The 22,914-nt window shown below is 35.0% G+C and overlaps 1 protein-coding gene across 3 annotated transcripts in view; it reads right to left on the bottom strand.

Annotated features, from left to right (window-relative positions):
* Positions 1 to 22,914, bottom strand: part of BANK1 (B cell scaffold protein with ankyrin repeats 1) — a 284,083-nt gene that overhangs the window by 6,732 nt on the left and 254,437 nt on the right. For all 3 annotated transcript variants that reach the window (NM_017935.5, NM_001127507.3, NM_001083907.3), the window contains 2 exons: positions 7,692 to 7,870; positions 4,943 to 5,006 (listed from right to left, as the gene is read on the bottom strand). In NM_017935.5, coding sequence (NP_060405.5) covers positions 4,943 to 5,006; positions 7,692 to 7,870 — 243 coding nt within the window. The remainder of the gene's footprint in view (positions 1 to 4,942; positions 5,007 to 7,691; positions 7,871 to 22,914) is intronic.

Genomic DNA, 22,914 nt, shown 5'->3' with positions numbered 1-22,914 from the left:
TATTTTGAATGTTGTGTTTAATTCCTAAATATATTGGGAGATGTTCTAGATATATAATTCTTAATTGATTTCTAAATTACTTCTGTTGTGGTAAGAGAATATAAGATTCTAAAAGACTGAAATCTTTTAGAGAATATACTCTGAAGGTTTCAGTCTTTAGAAATTTACTGAAACTTTTTTGATCATCTAGCCTATGTTTCATCTTGGTGAACCTCCATGTATACCTTTAATAAATATGTATTCTGACTTAAAAAATTATTTATGTAAATGTCAATTGGGTCAAGTTAGCTGATAGTGTTGTTTAGGTCTTCTGTATCTTTAATGATTTTTGTCTATTTGTTCTATTAATTACTAAGAAAGAAGTGAAAACATCTCTGAGTGCTGTCAGATTTTGCTTCAGGAGTTTTAGTAAAATTCATATATATAATATAAAATTATTTTATATAACGCAGATATTTAGAATCGCTCTATCTTTCTAGTGAACTGCCTTTTTATCTGTATGTAATATCCTTGTTTATCTTTTGTAATACTCTCTATTTTGAAATTTATCTTGTCTTACATTGATATAGCCATGCCAGCTTTCTTATGCTTATGTTTACTATTGTCATAGGAACCTTTTACCATACTTTACTTTCAAACTATCTATCTGTGTTTTATATCTAAAATATATGTCTTTTAGACAGCATAAGGTTGGATATTGCTTTTGTTTCCAGTCTGAAAATGTCTGCTTTTTAAAAGAAGCATTTAATTCAGTCACCTTTAATATAATTATGACATGGCTTAGTTAAATACTACCATCTTGTTCTTGGTTCCTCACTTTTCCATTTTTTTATGTTCCTCTTTTTCTACTTTCCTGCTTTATTTTTGGCGAATCAAATAGTTTTTTAATAATCTATTTTATTTCCTCTATAGGTTTCCTAAATATAGTTCTTTTTATCTATTTTTTAACTGATTTCTTTCTATTTTTAAAATAAAACATGAATCTTTAACTTAGATTTTGAGACAGTAGTATACCCCTTAGTACTTCATGCCTTATAGTTGACACATCAGACTGCTTACTTTACCCTCTCTCTCCTCTTCCTACTTTGTAACTGAATCTTTAAACTTTACCACGTAACAATTTTGGAAACATATAATTCTATTTATCTGCCTCCACTGTCCTTTGCATGATTGCTTTCATATTTCCTTCTTCATATTATATAACTTCTAACTTAAGTTTCATTATTTTTGCTTTAAACAATTGTCTTTGAAGTAATTTATGAGAAAAAGGAAAACATAATATTTTATATCTACCTGCTTTGTATAATTTCAGTATTCTTTTTCCCACAGATTCCCTCAGTGAGAATCTGAGTTTGTTAATATCCCTTCACCTTGTATGATATTTTTAAGCATTTATTCTACTGTAATTTTGCTATGAATTATCTCATTTCATTTATCTTAAATGTCTTTATTTTATCACATTTTTGAGGTATATTTCCTCTGGATTTAGAATTCTAAATTTTTTAGGACTTTAAAGATGTTATTGGCTGGTCGCATTGGCTCACGCCTGTAATCCCAGCACTTTGGGAGGCCGAGGCGGGCGGATCACGAGGTCAGGAGATCGAGACCATCCTGGCTAACATGGTGAAACCCCGTCTCTACTAAAAAATAGAAAAAATTAGCCGGGCGTAGTGGCGGGTGCCTGTAGTCTCAGCTACTCGGGAGGCTGAGGCAGGAGAATAGCGTGATCCCAGGAGGCGGAGCTTGCAGTGAGCCGAGATCGTGCCACTGCACTCCAGCCTGGGCGACAGAGCGAGACTCTGTCTTGAGAAAAAAAAAAAAAAAGATGTTATTGTATTTTTAATCCTCCATTGTTTCTGATAATAAATTATTGAATTTTTTTTTCCTTTATATGTAACGTGTGTTTTCTCTGGCTGCTTTCAAGAATTTCTTTTTACCTTGGCTTAAAGTAGCTTGAAAATAAATTGCCTAGAAGTCCTTCTTTTAACAGTTATGCTAAGTTTGGTTTTTAAAAGTTTTTTCAGCAATATGCAAGTGGTTTGCATTAAATTTGGCAAGTTTTTGGTCATCATTTTTTAAAAAATATTTTGGCTCTTTTCACTCTTTTCTCCTTTTGGGTTCTAATTACATGCATTTTAGAATGCATTATATTGTCCTAAATGTCGCTGGGACTCTGTTCATTTTCAAAGTCTTTTTATCTCTCTGAAAATCAAATTGGATAATTTCTATTGGTCTGTCTTAATTTTGTTTACTAACTCTTAATTTGTCATCTCCAATTTGATAATAAGTTCATCTGATTAATTTTTATATATTTTATTGTACTTTTACTTTCTATACTTTCTACTTGGTTCTTTTATATAGTTTCATTTTTTTTTCTGCTGAGATTCCCTATTTATTCTCTCCTTTAAACCACATTTTTCACTAATTCAGTGTTTAAGGTGCTTTAAAGTCTGTTTGCTAAGATCAACAACATCCAACATCTCAGGTTCCGTCTATAGTTTCTTTTTCTTCATTAAGATTACAGTTTCCTGTATCTTTGTATGTCTTCTTTTTTTAATTGAACACTGGACATTATAGATAATGTGTTGTATATTCTGGATTCTAGAATATTCTTCTGATGACGGTAGTTCTCGTTTTAGTAGGCAACTCAATTACTGTCAAGAACTTGTATAGACTTAATTTTATTCTTTTTCACCATGGGCTTTTTGTGATAGAAAGCCCAAGGTGTTTTCTTTTTAAGGCCCTGAGTTTGTAGATTCAGTCAGCCTACAAACTCTGTCTCCCAGATAGATCTTGTTGGGGCTTGGTTTGAGATTTTGTTAGGGCATGTCTAGAGTAGATCTTACTCTAAATCATAGTTCTTACTCATTACATCTTTTGGGTGTCACAGCAGAATGTCAGGTATTTTATGGAGGTGTTAAGATCTCCCTAATTTGACAGGGCCAGAACTTAAACACTCCCAGGCTGGCTTTTTCCTCAACTCTGCTCAACCTCTAGTGTCTCTCTTTTGCTTTCAATACCCTAGAAGTTGCTGTCTTGCATGCTTTGACTGTTTTGCTTTACACATGTACAGCTCATCTCTCAGCCACAGACTTGTGGAATCCTTCCCATGGACCTCTTAGGCTACCTCTCTACACAGCCACCTGCTCTCAGAGACCCACCACACATATTCTAGCAGCTTCAGCTGCCCTGAACTAAGATCTCTGTCTTCTCAGTTCAACAGAACTTCTTTGTTTTGCTCAGAGTGTAGTCAGGAAATATTCCTCTGGCAGAGACCAGGGCCATAATGAGACCCACCTCAGGAGTACTGCTTGTCTCTAGAATTATTCATAGTCTTTGGCTACCTACTGTCTGCCTCCTAATATCACTTGCTTCATATATTTGCCTGGTAATAGTGTCCTGTGCAATAGAAAGATTTGTGTAGTATTATTTATTCCAGTGCGGCTGAAAGGAGAACTAATTGATTCATAATTAAGGCACTGATAATTAAGAGCATTGATTTTGAATTAAACAGAATGGCTTCTCACTTAATATGTGTCCTTTAATTTTTCAGTTTCTCAGGGCCTCAGTTTCCTTATTTATAAACTGGAAATATTGCCCACCTCATAGAGTTATTGTAAGAAACAATAATGTATAGGTGATAATAAATGTTAGCTTTTTAATGCTCCTTGGTAAAATTATTTATATAACTTGTAATTTTATAAATCATTAAAATTTTAATCTTACTCATATTAGAATGGAGGTGTCTGTAAGATGGCCCTGTCTTTATGACCTTAATTATTTTAGAAAGTATATTTGTGTTTTAGAAAACATTTTAAAGTGCTTAAGAATTCTCTCTAGAAAAAAAGATAACTGTATAATATGAAGAGAAATGAATTTCAACACGAAGGACTAGCTAAAAGCTATGCAATATTAATGAAAATGGAAGAGATGGAAGCTTTCACACTCTTTTAGTGGCTGCTAGTTTTTAATTATCTGTGCAGGGGGAGAGTCTTGGGGAAACAGTGGTCAGATAGTGATAACGTAATTTATTTTTAATTTTGGAATGTGTTGTTTATTTTAGCAAAAGTTTTACCTTCTTAATAATGTTTGATTGGCTTAGTATCCCCTCCCCTAACCTCCACTGCCAAAGCAACTTTCAATTATTAGAAATTTTAAAATGATACACATGTTGACAATTGTGAGAATTCACTGTATTAATATTTTAACTTATTAAAAAGCATGTCTCTTTAATCATTTCATTTCTTTTTTTTTTTTTTTTTGAGATAGAGTCTTGCTCTGTCACCCAGGCTGGCGTGTAATGCTGTGATCTTGGCTCACTGCAATCTCTGTGCCTTCCGGGGGGGTTCTCCTGCCTCAGCATCCCGAGTAGCTGGGATTACAGGCATGCACCATCATGGCCGGCTAATTTTTATATTTTTAGTAGAGATGGGGTTTCACCATTTGGCAGGCTGGTCTTGAACTCCTATCCTCAAGTGATCCATCCGCCTCGGCCTCCCAAAGTGCTGGGATTACAGGTGGGGGCCATCATGCCTGGCCTTGATTTCTTATATAATGGATCATTAAAAAATTGAGCAGAGTTGTCCTATTTGCAACTTACATAGACATCAAAAGAAAGAGAGTAACAAGCATTTATTATATTTATAACATATAAAATACTTATCATATTCTCTGGTTCATTATGAACTTTCATTATGAACCAGAGAATATGATAAGTATTTTATATGTTAACTTACACAAGCACCCTCAGATGCATATATAATTATAGATGCATATTTTGCAGACAAGGAATTTGACTACCAGAGATTAAGACCCTCTCCAGGTTAGACAGCTGGGAATTGTTGAGGTTTAGATTTGAACTCAGGCCCAATCATCTCCACAGTCCTTGAATTTTCAACGTAATCACTCTATTATTTTTGAATAGCAGGCGAATCTTACTTACTATAGACATTTTCTTCTTCTGGCCTTTTCCCAATAATGCAGTCTCGTAGTTGTCGTAATTTCTCCTTAATGTGGAAACAACCAGGACATAGTTATGATTTTCAAATTTTTATGGATCAAGATGAAAACATCAACTACTATTAGCAATACCAATGCTGCTACTTGATATTAATTTGCTACTTATGATGTCTCAATTGCCATCCTTGATACTTTCCACGTTATCTTACTTAATTCTCACAGCTTAATGAAGTGGATGTAAAATGTCGTCATTCCATGTTGTAGATATGGAAACTGAGGTACAGAGAGGTACAGTAACTTTCCCAATTCATAGTTATAAGTGGTAGAGTCAAGATTGGATCCTAGAGTGCAATTCTTTGGGAAGTTGTTTTGCCAACCCAATTCTTGTGGGGTCTGTATTGGCTATTTGGTGTCCAAAAGCAGAAGGGCTACATAGTGATGGTTTGCTGCTGCCTGAGCCCATCTCAGCCTCTGTATGGCACATTCCTTCCCAGTGTTCTAATTCTAAAAATCAGAGACTTAAAAGCAGATGAACATAACAGGATTCCTCTTCTTAGCACATCTGTGATCTTTCTTTGATTTCCAAATATTGAACATTATCTTTTTAAGCAAAATGTAAAACAAGCTAACATTTAATAATCTTGTTTTAGAACAGAACTTAAGAATAGCACTCTTTCCTCAGGATTTTCCTGGAAACCTAGAAACCACTTTTCCTATTTAATTGTTTCCATTGCCTTACAGATCTCTCCTACCAGTGGTGCCAAACTCTTCTTCTTACTCTGTGACTGTGAGTAGGGGTGAGGACAGTGAAGGGCAAGGTTTTCCCTTCTCCACCATTTCATCTTCAACGCCAGGGATTCTACATGATTCTTAGTTATTCTGGAAACCAGCTTCCCCTATTAACTCCATGTTTGTGCCATTTTTTTCTTAGTTTCCTAGATTAATTCCTTCATCAATAATAATATGACTTCAGTTACCTCTGATAACTTCATTTATATTCATAGGATACAAACAAATACTTTTCCAAGCTGCAAGAAAAATATTGAAAAGTACATAGGAATGCATCTTTGTTTGCACGTGTGTGTGTTGAGGAAACAGGAGGAATATTCATCTTTTTGTTGTTTGGATTTTGGCCCAGTCCCTTATGTTAAGGACTGACTGATTCCTCTGACAGAATTCAGACCAAGTCATTAAACTTTGTTGCTTATGGAAAGTAATCTTAGTATCTGTTGGCCTTTATTTAAAAAAATAATTTTTTAAAATAAGCATGAACAATATTCATTATCCCATTATAACCTTATTATTAGGTGAGTCAGATCAGTCTCTAAGTAGTGAGTATGAAGCACCTTAAATTCTTCCTAAAAACAAGATTAAATTTAAATATACAAACAAAATAGAAACAACCAGGGTTTGATGAAACAACTAGTGAAATAATTTCCAAAATGATATTTAGGTTGGATAACTCTAAATGGAAAACGTTATTATTTAAGGGTCTTAGGAGGATGAAATACAATTGACTTACTTCAACAAAATCTATAAAATCTAACATTGCTAGGAAAGTGATTTGTAGGTCTGCACCTAAACACATGTGTATTGGTGATGACATTGACATGATTGAGAAGCAATATTGTAATTCTGATCATGAACAATGAAGAGTTGCAGAACTCTACAATCAGTATTCTTTAGCATTTATTTGGCAACATAACAACTGCCTTTGCTTAGTGTCACAAAATCTGGATGAGGTTCAGCCACCAACCCACAACCATAACTGCCCTTAGAGACAGGTGGTTTCTAACAAGGCATGATCTCAGATGTACTGGGAAAGTCCCCTGGCCCATCTACTATATTGTGTGAAATTTCTCTATTTTGATTCTTTTTTATTGTTTAAAAATGTTTTCCTAAGCATCGTCTTTTAAACAAAAATTATCTCTTGGGAAAGTTACAATATTAAGCTATTATCAATTATTTATACTTTGGCCTAAATTTGCTTATTAAATGTGTTTAATCAAACAGCTATCTAGAACTGGGTTCTGAAGCAATGGGATTTCTGTGATAAGAAGAAAAAAATTGTTAAAATATTTTTGGAGTGAAAGATGGAATATGGGAATATGACCGTGTTATCTCTCACTAAGGAATATCAAGGGGTGTGTGTGGTATATTTTGTTTTCATTCTCATCTCAGAACCATGTCCTCCAATCCCATCTCAGGAGGTAAGTTATATTTACAGAAGATGAGCTTATTTTAACTTAATATTTGAACATATATATGTAAATGTGTGTATGTGTACGTATATAAAAATAAATGTTTAAGGAGAAAGAAGATAAATACTTATTGCATTTTATTTAGGACTGTTGCTTAGTGTGATTTTAATCATTGTCTCACTCCCCTTTCCTTTTAAGCCTGGCATACATAATACACCCTTCAGTGTAAAGATGCTTTACCTTAATTTCAGCAACAAGATTCAAAAAACACTCACTCTACTAAAGACAGGTATTATAAGCTGATTAGGTATTAGCTTTGGTATACTGGGTTAGAGGATTGACTTCACCAATGGCTGGTGAACATAATATCTGGATATTTTCAAACATTATTTGATTTCTTGAAGTATCTTCCTTAGTGGCTAGTTAAAAATGAAAGAACAGTTACCTGTATTCCTCATGAAAATTAAACATTAACAAACTAGGGGCTCCACAAGTGAGGGAATGTCCCAGAAAACACTGGGCCAATATTACCTGCTGAATCATTTCCAGGCCACTTTTTCCCATCTGCCAGTGTTTAAATTTCTCCAGAGCTTCATCCATAGACATTTTCCCATTCTTTACTTTCTCCTGCAGGAGGATGAGTTCTTCCTGACCATCAGTTAGACAGCCCCTGAGAGTAGAAAAGGCTGGACTCTCTATCCGAGCTCTGTCTAAAATACAAGGGGAGGGTGCATTAACAGAAAGTCCAGGTGTAGACAACTGGGAACAAAAGCACTCTACAAATAAGCCATTGGAGTAGCTTCTTCTTAACTCTCTATGAGCAGTTAAAGAATAAACCAGCACACTTTTAATGAGTTTCTTTCTAAGGATGGAGGTGCCTGGAAACTAGTCTTATGGGTGAAAAAAAAGTGTCTCATTACTAAGACAGAAAAGGACAAGGAGAGAAAGGGCAGTAGCAAAGGTTATATACTTCGCTAGTTGATGGCAGTGCCAATTTTGTCTTCTGTTTCTGAGGTTTATCAGAGATCACGTGCACAAAATACTTAGCATAGTGCCTGCCACACAGTAAGCTAGATAAATGTTAACATTAATACTAACAATAAATATCTTTAGAATAAACAGTCTTTCTATCTTTGGGAAAGGAGACGTTAACCAACATCCAAATGTCACAAAAGGCTTAGGATCATTTGAAAATTTATTTCTGAAAGATTTTAAATAAATAATTGGTCATTTTGTAGTGAAATGCTTCCTTTTCAAAAGAGTTTATTTTGGAGCATGCTATGTATTATTTGCTCAGCACAAAAGGAATTTGTGGCCTGGCTTGAGGCACAGTGGTAGCAAACTGGCAGACCATGGGTGAACTCAGTGTTTCCCTTGTCTGCCATGGTGTTTAAAGACATAAATAGGCCTGCATGACTTTAAGGATGCTATGTACTCTCTAGGTTACTGCAATCCTTGCCACACGTTAGAGTTCCTGGATGACAACACATGTCTGCTACCTGCCTGGCTGCTGGAACTCATTTGAGTTTGTACCTTCTCATTTACATATTTCCATTAAGTGCAACATACTTTTTGTATTATTTCAGGAGGGGTAGGTAACACATCTTAATATACTATCAAATCTAAATATGCCCACAGAGTCTGAAAGGAGAGAATAGCCAGTCCTACCTAACTGTATACCAGTGAGCTATCCCTGGAGGGATATGCCCATTTCTGGGACTGCCTCTTCAAGAAAGAAACAGATGAATTTGACTATCCAGACGATATTAACAAGGATTTGGGAAATGGGGAGGGCATTCAAATTCTACAGTAATAAGAATTTGTTGATATAACTAGGATTGATTGTTCTGGAAAAGAGGTTTCAAGTATTTGATAGCAAATGTTATATGTCTGAAGAGGACTTGAGCCTTGGGATTGTTCTGGAATGGCCTGTAGTGTTCCTCTCAGTTTTGAGAAGGACTGTAACAGTGAATCTTGGAACAGGGACATGGAGAGGGTTTCTTTCCAAAAAGATTCACGTGCACAGAAAATTTCTCTGTGGCCAATAATTCTGATTCCCACGGGGGCTTTCTTTCTTTCTTCTTTATTTTTATTATTATTATTTTTTTTTTACTTTTTCCCTTCTCACCATTTCCATTCAACAGAGAGGCTTTCTTGACTTGTCTTTTCTCTTCAGAATCTATTTTTACATAAATCTGCTTTTACCTTTTTTTTTTTTAAGAGTAAAGAGATTAAAGCATTTGTCTTGATAAATTAGGATTAGCATGAGAAGCTGCAAAGAAAAATGATTTAGGCACTTTACTACCTTTTATTCTAAGGGTATACAAGTCAAACCAAAACATGCAACCTGTAATTTTTGGTAGGGTTTACAAGATTTCTTTATTGCATTTAGATAAGAATTTGATGGGTAAAAAGAAGTAATGAAAGGTTTTCTGTCTTCCTAATTTTGTATTTTTTTTAGTTTACCTTCAGAAGAGTTAGTATGAATTTAATATAATTTTCATTAAAAAGCATTTGTCAGACAGCTAACTGTATGTATGGTAGACTCTTGTCTTTTAGTGTAAAAGCTTTAAGGTAAACTACAGTTTTTAAAATTAATTCCTTTTAAAAAATTTCTCTTTACAAGTATTTACATTTGATCAAATATTGGTCATATAAACATCAACCAACCCATTGTAGTGAGTATATAAATCTACAGAGTAGGTAAGAATGTAAATTGGGCTTTTCATTAAAATTATTTACTAGGAGACTGGCTGGAAGGACTTTATTGAAAATTTGAAAGAAAACAACTTGATTGCCCAACAAAAAGTAATTAAAATAGAAAATATTTACTTAATAAAAATCACGTAGTCATTTAAAAAATAAAGATTGTGGCAACATAGAAAGTGCTTATTATATTATAACAAGTACAAAAGCAGGATACAAAATTATATACACGTTAAAATTTTAGCAGTATCAAAGTTGTATATATAATAAAGCATGAAAAGAAATTTTAAAATATGTGTTATTCTATTGTGATGCCATATTACATATGTAATTATTTTCTTATGATCTCTAACTTTCTATAATAATACTATATTGCTTTTACAATATAAAAAATTTCTGCCACTTTATAATTAGGCTTTCCCATGGAATGCATACCATTTCAATCCATGCCAGATATACCATGCTGTAAGTACTATGTCATACTATAAGTATCAATGTGATGTCACACCATACTGTACCATCATACCAAATTAGTTTATGGCACTTGGAAAGAACTTTTCAGTAATAGGACTTAAATAACTAGGGTCCAGGTGCAGTGGCTGACACCTGTAACCCCGGCACTTTGGGAGGCCGATGCAGGTGGATTGGTTGAGCCAAGGAGTTCCAGACCAGCCTGGGTAACATGGAGAGATCCCATCTCTACAAAAATTAGCCTGTAGTCCCAGCTACTCGGGAGGCTGAGGTGGGAGGATTGCTTGAGCCTGGAAGATCAAGGCTGCAGTGAGCTGAGATCGCCACTGAATTCCAGCCTAGGTGACAGAGCAGACCTTGCTTAAGAAAAAAAAAGAGAGAGAGAGAGAAAGCGAGAGAGAGAGAAAGAGAGAGAGAGAGAGAAATAGAGAAACAGGGAGAGAGAAAGAGAGAAAGAGAGAGAGAGCAGGAGAGAGAGAGAGAAAGAGAAAGAGAGAGAGAGCAAGAGAGAGAGAGAGAGAGCGAGAACTAGTGACAAAGATTTAAAGCTTAAGTTATTTTTTGTTATTTAATTTGGGACTTGGTAGGTATATAAGCTCAGGTCCATTAGGAGATGCTTGGTCTATCGATTTATTTGTAAGTTCCAAGTAAGGCCTCTGCATCCCCTTAACTTTAGGGTTGCATATATTCTTTGAGATTTGTTTGTTTGTTTTGTTTTGTTTCATTTTGTTTTTGTTTTTGTTTTGAGGCAGTCTCCATCTCCCTGGCTGGAGTGCAGTGGCGTGATCTCGGCTCACTGCAATCTCCGCCTCCTGAGTTCAAGTGATTCTCCTGTCTCAGCCTCTTGAGTAGAGGGATTACAGGCGTGCGCCACCATAACTGGCTAGTTTTTGTATTTTTAGTAAAGATGGGGTCTCGCAATATTGGCCAGGCTGGTCTCGAACTCCTGGCCTCAAGTGATCTGCCTGCCTTGGCCTCCCAAAGTGCTGGGATTACAGGTGTGAGCCACCACACCTGGTATTTGATGTTTTATTTTAATGATTGTGATTTTAGAACATGATTTTTTTTCTCCACCACTTAGAAAATACAGAAGAGTACTGAAAACTGAAATAACTGCCACTCATTATTATACTCTTCAGAAACAGGTATCGTAAACGTCTTGGTGGTCCTTTTTAAGTATCCATTTCTTTCCTTTTTTCTGAATTAGGGTTATACTGACATAGTTCCTGCTCTTTTCTCTTAGTCATGTAGCCTAAGAATCTTTCCATAACATTAAATATTCTTTGAAAAATGGTTTTTAATGGGAGCATTATATTCCAAAGTTTGTATATTCAATAAAGTATTTAATCATTCTCTTACTAAGGGATTTTTTATTGTTTCCACTTTTCTCCACAATTATATGTTGTTGGAGCTTCTAAGTCTTTTATGTGAATCACTGGCTGCATTATTTATTTGGTTGGCATAGACTCATAAAAATATAATTTTTGAGTATGATCACTTTTAAAGCTATTGATGTATACTTAGTGTCAATCTCCTTTCCTGGAATGTGTTGTCATGTACAGTCTCACCAGTAGGATGAGGGAGTGTTTGTACTGTTTCACTTTTGATAGCATTTTGCATTATTCAATTCAAATAAGTACACAAGCTTTATAATAATTTTATAATCTAAACCTTTCTCTCATTGCCAGTGATTCTTGTGTCATTATAACACTGAGTCCTGTAGCTTAGAGCATTGAGTAAGTAACAGACTTTAATATCACATATGGCCACTAGTCCTGCCCTAATCTTTTTTTTTCCCAAGTGATTACCTTTCAATTCTTCTTAATTATCTTCTCTATCAATTTAGAAACATTCTTTCAAACTGTCATCTCTCTCCCTAAAGGAAAAGTAAATTATCAAAATGACTGGGATTCCCTTACATGTATAAGTTATTATAGAAAGAGTTGAGAGGATTTAATTTCCCGTTAGGAAAATAGCATTATTCTATCTTTTTAATAGGTACTTTTTGTGTATGTTTTGAATTTACAGTGAATAATTTCTTTTCTTTCATGATGTCGCCAAACTAATATTTCTGGTATATAAAAAAGTGAATTATGTATTAATTATATCCAGCTAGTTAAAATAATTTTTAAGAGTCTTATAGTTGATGTTTTCAGGTTTTCTGGCATGTACGTATATCATCTAAAAATAATGGAGAAAGTATCTCCTTCCCAATAATTACACGTTTTATTTTAGATGCATGTTATTGCAGTTGCTAGAAACTTCCAGGATAATGGTAAGTAAAAATATTAATAGTAGGCATCCTTATCTTGTTTCTATCCCTAACACGAATACCTCTACTTCTGAACTAATAAGAAATTTCTGATAATGTTGAGAAATTATTCTCTTTCTATTTTATAAGATTTTTTAAAAATTATGAATAGTTGAACTATAATTTTGTCTTTTTCATCAACTGAAATCATCATGTTTTTTAAAATAAAATAACTAGTACATTAATAGTTCTACTCCATGAGATGGTTCATATAATATAAAAATTCTCTTATTTGAATTTGAAATAACTCACTGGCAAAACTTATCCTGGTTAACTATTGAGTTAAAAATGTATACAAACATTCCTTGGTCATTAGTCTAGTGATATTTTTACTTTTTATTTATCACTTGACATAATTTTATTAATGAGTATTTCCTTGGTATTTTCGGGGATGTATCTTTTTAAAGCAGAACATAGTTTTATTTTGGCTTGAAGAAGTTAAAAATATACCACTCTGGCACATCAACTATTTAAATTGAAAAAAAGCAGGTGCAAGAAAGATGATTCTGACCTTTCAGTTGTTTCCCAAAAGCAGAAGACTAAATTCCCACGGTAAAGACACTCACTCTATACAAGAAGGAAAAGCAATATCCTTATCTTCACAGAGGAGAAGTTGAGACTAAAAGAATTCTGTACAGACCTTGGTAGAATAACTCTTATCTTTTAAGCCTCCCCATTTTCACAGTTTACTATTCTTGTCTAATTCAGTAGGTAAGTAACCGACTAACTGCTTCTTTGAGTCTTCATTTTCTTTGAGGACTCCAGTGCCATGTGAAACTATTATGCTTTTCTCTTGTTAATCTATTTTACATCAATTTAATTCTCAGTCCTGGCTGGTATCCTAAGAAGATAGAGGTGGAGTTTTTCTGCCGCTACAGTCTTTTGTCCACATTTCAGTCTGTATCTTTTTATGAGGGAGATTGTATAACATGGTATTTGGAGCCAGGTAGATGAGGGCTCAAAGCTCTTTCTCATTCCATTTTTGTAAACTCCAGTTTCTTTGTCTATAAAATGAAGGTAAATAATCCCCTTCTAACAGAGTTGTTGCAAGAGTTAAAGGAGCTAATATATGTAATGTGCTTTGTCGTGTTTCAGGCTTCTGTTAAAGCTCAGGAAAGTTGTAGTGAGAGTTGTTAATACGATTACGTGAATAGTACAGAAGGTGATTACAAGTTTGGCCTTCAGAGTATAACAGAATTGAGTTCAAATTTCACCTCTACCATTTCTTAGCTCTGTGTCCTTGGTTACAAATAATCAATCCATTTTAAAAAGGAAAATAATATCTCATAAGATATCTTTGAGGTTTTAATGAACTATCGTTATGCAGATGATTAACACAGCACCATTTGTCCTCAATGACTGTTACTGCTCTGTGAGAATGTTTTAACTGATATGAATTTATTGTGATGACTGCTGTTATACATAATCTTGTTTTGTATGTGGTTATAAAGACATATATATGTATTTGTATATACATATATACATATATATGAAGGAATTTGAAAGTAGTGGTTACTTTTTAAAATTTCAGATTTTTTATCTTTTTTTATTAATAAAGTAATGAATGAAAAAACATTTTTTTCTAGTTCCTAAGTATTTTTATATTATTTGGTCATTGTAACCAGATTATTGCTACTAAATTAGCAATAATTATGTTACATTACGTATTTTTCTTTATTACCAATATTTTACATTCATGTCTTATAAATAAATTTACAATAATTATTTAAGTTTACTTCAGTAATTTTAATAATGTAATTTCTTTTTAAGCTTTTTATTTTGTTTAATTCCTCATTGGTTAGAATATGTTTTGGTTAATACTTTCATAATGACAGAATGGCTATCTTCTCTAAAATTTTGGATATCCAAAAATTCTTATATTTATTTTCTTCTTACATGAGCAAAATACCTGACTAAATATAAACTTCTTAAGTTGAAGTTTTTTCTCAAATAAACTTGGTAGTCCATTATCTCAAGTTTCTGTCACACAGATTCTCTAATTTTTTAATGGATTCTGATTTATTTTAGTAGAAAATGTAAGTTAAAGTACTTGCTCAATACTTTTAAGATTGTTTCTTTTTCCTTATAATCAAAAAGATTTGCTAGGGTGCTTTTAAACATGAGCAACTCTCCTTACTTTTTCCTGTCTCATAGTGAGCCCACTCAATCTGCATTATTCATCCTCCAGCTTCCCACTTCTCCAAAGATTAGCTTAATAAAGTCATTGATCGTATTTTCTATTCTAGTTTTTAAAAACCTGTCATACTTGAGTTGTATCTCTGTTCTCCACATCTTATTACTGTTTTCGGTCTTTCCATGTACTGAGAACAAACCCTTCTTCAATATGTTCTCTACGTCACTGATTTATTTTCACCTAGTGTGAGTCCCTTTTGTTGTGACCAATGTGGATTTTAATTTGCTGTTGAAACTTTAGCTTCTTAGTTTATTTTATTTTTATCATACTTCCTCTTGTCAATACCTTTTCTTCATGTCGCATGTTTAATCTCATTCTGGTATCTCATCTAAAATGTCTTTCACATATTTTGCTTTCATCTCAGCCTAACCTCAAATTTCTGCTGCTATTTCCTCTCCATATTTTCCATTTGTTTATGAGTTCAAACTTTTCTGACATTTTCTTTTTTGGCCCCTGCATTTTGTTGCCAACTGCCTAGTACTGAACCTGAAAGTGGGACACTTAAGTTCAAATTAACACATACCGCCTTAGAACTTCTGAAAAAGTTAAAATATTTATAAAAAGCTTCATATTTAAGCAGTTATGAATTGTTAGCTGAAAAATGCTCAGTGCTTAGTGTGTGTGTGTGTATTTCCCATTATTTCCATGTTGATAGCTTGGTGCTTTTGATATGATATCTGGCAACCTTACTCATTAAATAAATAAATCATTAACAGAAGTATAATTATTCTGAGTCTTTACAAAAAAAACTCTCCTTCCCTTCTTCTGGAGTAGTTTTAGTTTATGAACTTTTCATATTACTTGTTTGTTCTCATCTTTAATCCTTCTGGCGTGGTGGCTCATGCCTGTAATCCCAGCACTTTGGGAGGCCGAGGTGGGTGGATCATGAGGTCAAGAGATCCAGACCATCCTGGCCAACATGGTGAAACCCTATCTCTACTAAAAATACAAAAATTAGCTGGTCGTGGTAGCACACGCCTGTAGTCCCAGCTACTCAGGAGGCTGAGGCAGGAGAATCGGATGAACACGGGAGGCGGAGGCTGCAGTGAGCCAAGATCGTGTCACTCTATTCCAGCCTGGCAACAGAGCGAGACTCTGTCTCAAAAAAAAAAAAAAAAAAAAAAAGAAAAAAAGAACACATCTATGGAATCATTGTTCACCAAGGCTTTTGGTGTTTATGTGTCCTTTGGCTCTTTCCTTGTGTTCAGGTCAAATTCCTGGGACTGCAGAAAACTTTAATAGGTGCAGTTCGCAACTCAAGATCCCAGGATTTAGCAGGTTTTGTCTAATGCAGCTGCCACGATAGAGGCGGGACATGATTCCCTGGCACTATGTATCTAAGTCCATGCATAAATTTCTAACAGACTTCTTGACCTTCCCATCCCTCCATTTTAGAGCTTTACTTTAGAGTCCCAGGACCAGCCAAGTGTAGCATTACCCTCCTACCCCCACTTTCAACTGGAAGGAATATTTTCTGCATGTATATGGAAAGATCAGAGCTGGGACACAGAGCACTTGTAAAAATTAACATTTATGTAGCAGAGAGGTAGCTGGGGTCAGGAGGTAAGGGAGGGATTAAATATCTTTCTACCTCCTATTATGAGCAAAGGACTGATTTGTTTCATAGACAGTAGGGGTAGACTACTGATTTTTTAATTTGTCTCAATTAACTTTTCTCAACCTTAGAATTAATTAGAATTAGTTCTAGATTCCAGTAAGCTTATTTTCCAGTCTTTGTTCTCCCTATTATTAAGAATTTCATCTTTTTTGTGTGTGCTTTGATTTCATTTCTGAGAGACAACACTGTGGGTTGCGAACATATTGCTATCTTAGACAAAAACTGAGCTATTACACAAAATTTTCAAGGTATGACTTTAACAACAACAAAAAACTTTTGTGAGCAATATGACAAATGGAAATGTAAGTATACTGGAAAAGGGAACTGAGGCCATTATTCTTTTATGGAGTACAAATGACCACATTTTGACAATTTTCCCTCTTTTCTGTTTAATATATCCAGTACTGGCAAAAACAGCCTGATGAAAATACCTCAGAGATCAGCATTCTCTTTTCCCCATGTAAGGGTAATATCTTCCCCATTTCTCCAGGTCTCCTGCTTCTAGACAATTTTATTATTTAACATTTATCAAAGTGCTACAGCAATGCACACTTATAGAACACAGAAAGGATATGTTGCCTGACTACCTCTTTCCCATGAGTAGGCACACTCCTGCCCTACAAAAGACCAGCCAATAATGATTTTGTAGTCTCGAGTGAGGAATTGGTGGGCAGGGACTATACTAGGGGTTACAAGCTCATAAACTATAGGGGCCATGCAGATAAAATTACTGAGCAAATAATATTTAGTACCTGCTTATTAAATACATTTGAATAGTTTTCATTAGCAAAAATAAATGTTCTTTCATTTTTTTCATAACCTGACTCTATATCCCTTTACTCACTTTTGATAGAATTATGACTTTAGAGAAATGTGTTCCAAATATAAGAAAACAACACAGAAAGCATGATAACAAATGGTAATAGTCATTTGTTGCAAGTTATACATTTATATAATAGGGAGTGGTTGGAAATTTGAATATTTCAGGAAGCATGGTCTTAAATGCTGGCAAAAGTTTTAAATTGTATTGTGTGGATTATTGCTAAAATATAATTTACTTAGGGGCTAAATTTGACCACATGTGGTCTCTGAAACATAGTTTCTTTTGGTGGGATTTTTTCACATGTTGATTTTGAGATTATTGCTGATTACTATCTCATCTATTCGACTTTTAGTCCATATCTAAGATAGGGCTTAGGCAACCAAAGTTTAAAAGCTCTGCAAATAATTCTTATGCTCATCTAGAGTTGGAAGTGACTGGTATAGGCAGTTGGTTAGGGTGGATGTGCTCCTCCTACCCACAGAAACTTACCCTTCAAAGACATGGTTTTGTTAGCAACAGCCAATCCGTACAGATCTGCAGCAACTTGATTCTTGCCTCTTTGGAGGCAAGAATTCAGCTGAGGGGCATAAGGCACAGGAGAGAGCAAGGCAAGTTTTAGATAGAGTAGTATTGAAAGTTTATTAAAAGGTTTTAGAGCAGGAATGAAAGGAACTAAGGTACACTTGGAAGAGGGCCAAGTGGGCAACTTGAGAGATCCAAGTGCACTGTTCAACACTTGACATGAGGTTTTAAACATTGGTATGGTTATGGGGTTAGTGTCTCTCCTCCCTTGGTTTTTCCTTGGGGTGGGCTATCTGCAAACGCAGAGCCCTGCCAGCACTTGGGAGGAGCCCATGTGCAGTATGTTTACTGAAGTTGTGCATATGCTCATTTAGGTGTTTTTCCCTTACCAGTTGAGCATTCCTAGAGAAAAGTCACATACCAGTTAAACCCTACCATTTTGCCTCTTAGTGCACATGCTTGCGCCCACTTGCCCAACTCCTGCGATCTTACTGGGAAGCTGCTGATGACCAGCTTCAGGTGTTTTCTGTCTATTAAGAGACTGCCTTTCACTGGCACTGGCTGTGACCAATTACGGTTTTAAAGAGACAGTTTAACAACTACCTAACCATCACCTGGTGGTCGTCTGACATTCCTGGGTGGGTGGCCCTCTCCTGCCCTGCTCGTGTCTGCCTAGCTGCCTACACTACCCTTTTGCCCTCTAAGAGTGAGAGCAACAACACACCCTTGATAAGGTTCATTTGACTATATGGCTGAGGAGATCTGTGGATGTAATCTATGATTACAGGGAGGCAGCTTGTTAAGAATGCTTGAACCTCATCAGTTGCCACGTGTCATATCCACGGTAAGATGGGGATGATCTTGATATAGATAGAAAAGGCCCTTCTGTACAGTCCAAGATGTGAACAAACTTGACCCTAGACTATATATGATTTTGTAAAACAAGGAAAATTAGCCAGATATTTCCATCTTTGAATAAGGAGCCCTTAAATTCTTTCAACATTTTTGACTTGATCATGTTCACTTAGAAATCTTCTAATGACTAAGTATATTTTATAGAAACTTTATTATCTGGCAGAGACCAAATAATGCAAGCAATCCAGTCACTGGAAAGCCATCTTCCCTTATTATAGGTTTAATGATTGGAATTGGGGGTATGAATCAGTCCTCTGTGAGCTTCGATAACATAAGCCAGACTTCAAAATCCTGATCAATTCCAAACACACTGGCAAATGCAGTTTTCTGACTAGAAATTTCTAATTTCTAGCACTAGTATTTTCTAATTTCAAATCCAAATTGGGAAAATTGACTTTAAAACTGTTTTGATGGAAAATTTTATCTGTGATCCAAAGTCCTCAGCATTTTTCCTTACATTTTTTCAAAATGTGGAAACTGAGTTGAAGAATCTGTTGAGTTTCCATGGAAATGGTGCCAATTAATTATTTTTTTCTTCCTTAGGAAAATTCCTTGACTTAGCAATAATGTAACTTCCTGGCAATCCCTTGCCAGTCTTAAACTTAGTGCACTTGAAATGCTTATACTTTCAATGGGAAAACAGTTGGCTCTCATCATCCCTTTTCCCTCCAGCATATAGAGGAAGAGTTAAATAATAATTCCTTTTTACCTTCTTTAGAGAACTTGTCTAGTCCCTTTAGAAAATCTTGCCTCTGACAAACATTATATAAAAGGCCCTTTTTATTGTTCTACCAAATAAAGAGAGTATCACTGGTGAAGTATGTACTGCTTTTCCTAGTACACCATGAAATCCCAGGATATTTGAAGAATATTCATTAATTAGGTAATAAGCAGTTTTCATTGCATAGTATGTTACATGGACTGAATGATCATAATATCTGCAACAGTTTAGAGAAATATGGTTGGATGAAATCAACCTTGTTAGCTATTTAGGTACTTAATTCTTTTATTACTAAGTATTCCAAATTATCTTGTTTTCATGCTAACTGCTGATTTCCCTGCACACTATAGTCATCAGGGAGGTTTTTAAAGAAACATTTGATAAGGATTGATGTTTCCTTAGTCCTTACAAATAAAACAATATGCTGTTCCCTTCTGGTACATTACTGATGTTCAGGAATAAAGGAATCTAAAGAAACTGCTCTAAGATGACTAATCAAAAATATCATCAATAAGTTGTATTTAAGTATGTACACAGAAAAAATATTACAGACAAAATATGATTAAAATGTTAGTATCTGAGTCCCTACAGAATTTTTAAAAATCTAGAGGTAATTGACCTTGATTATGCAAATTAGGTAACAAGATATGGACAGATAGTAATCAATACAATATTGCATAATTAGGTCCTCGTTTCCCTTTACCACCCTCTCCTCCCCTTTTTCTGTGGGCAGATGGGTACTAATTGTCTATACATGGTAGAATAATGACAGGGCTCTTCTAAGCTTAACAGATACTAGCAGCCCTTCCTTGCATTGCTCTCTGTGGGACAGCCAGGATAACTGATAAGATCAAACATTCCAAGGATCTCTTCATTACACTTGATACTCGTCATTTCTCTTCATCTCCTGTGGCCTTCTTTGCATTTTCCCTTTAATTCTAACATAATTTAATTAAAAACATGGTAATTGAATAATTTATAAGAAAAACACTTCAGGGATTTTTCTCCCAAAAATCTCCTCTCTTCATTCTTTCCAAAGCTCTGTGAGGTATGTATGGGAGGCCAGGTAGAAATAATCTTATCTACTTTGTTTAATTCTTTCGTAGCTGTTCTGATCCTAATTGTACAATGATCTTACATGTAGCTTTGCATTTATTTCTTGAGAGAGCTAAAGGCACAGTGGGAGGATAATAGTAGACTTAAAAAAGATCTATCTTTCTCCTTAAATATGAAATCACTAAAAATGGAAAACTGTCAAATAAAGAGTTTTTTGCATGTAAATTTACAAGCAGTGTATTAAAGTGTTTCATGAGAGAATAAAAGTTCAGCTTCATCATGTGTTGCATTCAAACACCGTGTATTAACTGGAAGATGATCTAAGTACCACCTTGCTGTTGTGAAAAAATGCCACTTGAAGTGATGGGTGAGGATCACTCATTTAAGAATGCACCCTTGTTTGAAGGATGATTCATAATGTCCTAGGAGCAGGTCCATTGAAGGTCTGTATTTAATAGTTCAGTGGGTGTTAGAATTTGGTGCAATCCATTCCCAGCCATCTTCACAATGGCAAAAAAGGAGCCTGACTGGGAGTGGTTAGTAGTTGCTGTGAAACAATTTCCTGGTTTTATTCCAGTGTCTCTTTCAACAATTTACCGGCACCATTTTCAAGGAAATATTAGTTTGGACTGAAGTTATTTCAAAGATGGGCCTGTATGTACACATTCATTATCATGGGCAGCTAATGTTACCCCCTACCTCTGCCACCTTTAATGTTTTTCATTTTTGAACATTGAATAAGGCCTTATTGTCAGACAAAAAATCATAATACATGATCTGCTACAGTCTTTCTTTTCAGCAGAAGACAAACATTTTAGGGAAAACTGGAGGCAGAAAATATTCTGTCTGTGGAAGATGTTTCTGTGGCTACAGTTTTCAGCTCTTCTCTGCATAACAAATAATTGTTCAAGAAATGTTAGATCAAGTGCTGAAGGCAAGAGAACAGTTAAAAAGGATGCAGTCTTTGATTGGCATTTAGTGCAAACCATAGAAAACTCATGCTAGCCCCTTTCTTTGGAGGAATCAAATCATTTGCCACTCCTACCAAGTTAGGTTCCAGAGGCTTCCCTTATAGGTCTATGAAAACACAGCCTCTGATGCATCTTAGATAATTTTTCTTACTTGACCTTCCTGGAACCCTCATGATAACATCGACAACACTATCACAAACATTCTGATAAGGTTATTTCATGCCTTTGTTAATTAAAATAATTTTCTTGTATTAATTGTATTATGGCAAAATTATATTGTGTGAGATTAAGAGTAAGATTTATGTCTTTAATCCATCTTGAATTGATTTTTGTATAAGGTATAAGGAAGGGATCCAGTTTCAGCTTTCTACATATGGCTGGCCAGTTTTCCCAGCACCATTTATTAAATAGGGAATCCTTTCCCCATTGCTTGTTTTTCTCAGGTTTCTCAAAGATCAGATAGTTGTAGATATGCGGCGTTATTTCTGAGGGCTCTGTTCTGTTCCATTGATCTATATCTCTGTTTTGGTACCAGTACCATGCTGTTTTGGTTACTGTAGCCTTGTAGTATAGTTTGAAGTCAGGTAGCGTGATGCCTCCAGCTTTGTTCTTTTGGCTTAGGATTGACTTGGCAATGCGGGCTCTTTTTTGGTTCCATATGAACTTTAAAGTAGTTTTTTCCAATTCTGTGAAGAAAGTCATTGGTAGCTTGATGGGGATGGCATTGAATGTATAAATTACCTTGGGCAGTACGGCCATTTTCACGATATTGATTCTTCCTACCCATGAGCATGAAATGTTCTTCCATTTGTTTGTATCCTCTTTTATTTCCTTGAGCAGTGGTTTGTAGTTCTCCTTGAAGAGGTCCTTCACATCCCTTGTAAGTTGGATTCCTAGGTATTTTATTCTCTTTGAAGCAATTGTGAATGGGAGTTCACTCATGATTTGGCTCTCTGTTTGTCTGATGTTGGTGTATAAGAATGCTTGTGATTTTTGTACATTGATTTTGTATCCTGAGACTTTGCTGAAGCTGCTTATCAGCTTAAGGAGATTTTGGGCTGAGACAATGGGGTTTTCTAGATATACAATCATGTCGTCTGCAAACAGGGACAATTTGACTTCCTCTTTTTCCCAATTGAATACCCTTTATTTCCTTCTCCTGCCTCATTGCCTTGGCCAGAACTTCCAACACTATGTTGAATAGGAGTGGTGAGAGAGGGCATCCCTGTCTTGTGCCAGTTTTCAAAGGGAATGCTTCCAGTTTTTGCCCATTCAGTATGATATTGGCTGTGGGTTTGTCATAGATACGCTCTTATTATTTTGAGATATGTCCCATCAATACCTAATTTACTGAGATTTTTTAGCATGAAGCGTTGTTGAATTTTGTCAAAGGCTTTTTCTGCAAATATTGAGATAATCAAGATGGATTAAAGGCTTAAACGTTAG

Source organism: Homo sapiens, chromosome 4 (assembly GCF_000001405.40).
Source record: "Homo sapiens chromosome 4, GRCh38.p14 Primary Assembly".
Lineage (NCBI taxonomy): Eukaryota > Metazoa > Chordata > Mammalia > Primates > Hominidae > Homo > Homo sapiens.
Note: the sequence above shows the minus strand (reverse complement) of the source record. Positions and strands in the feature narration are given on the sequence as shown.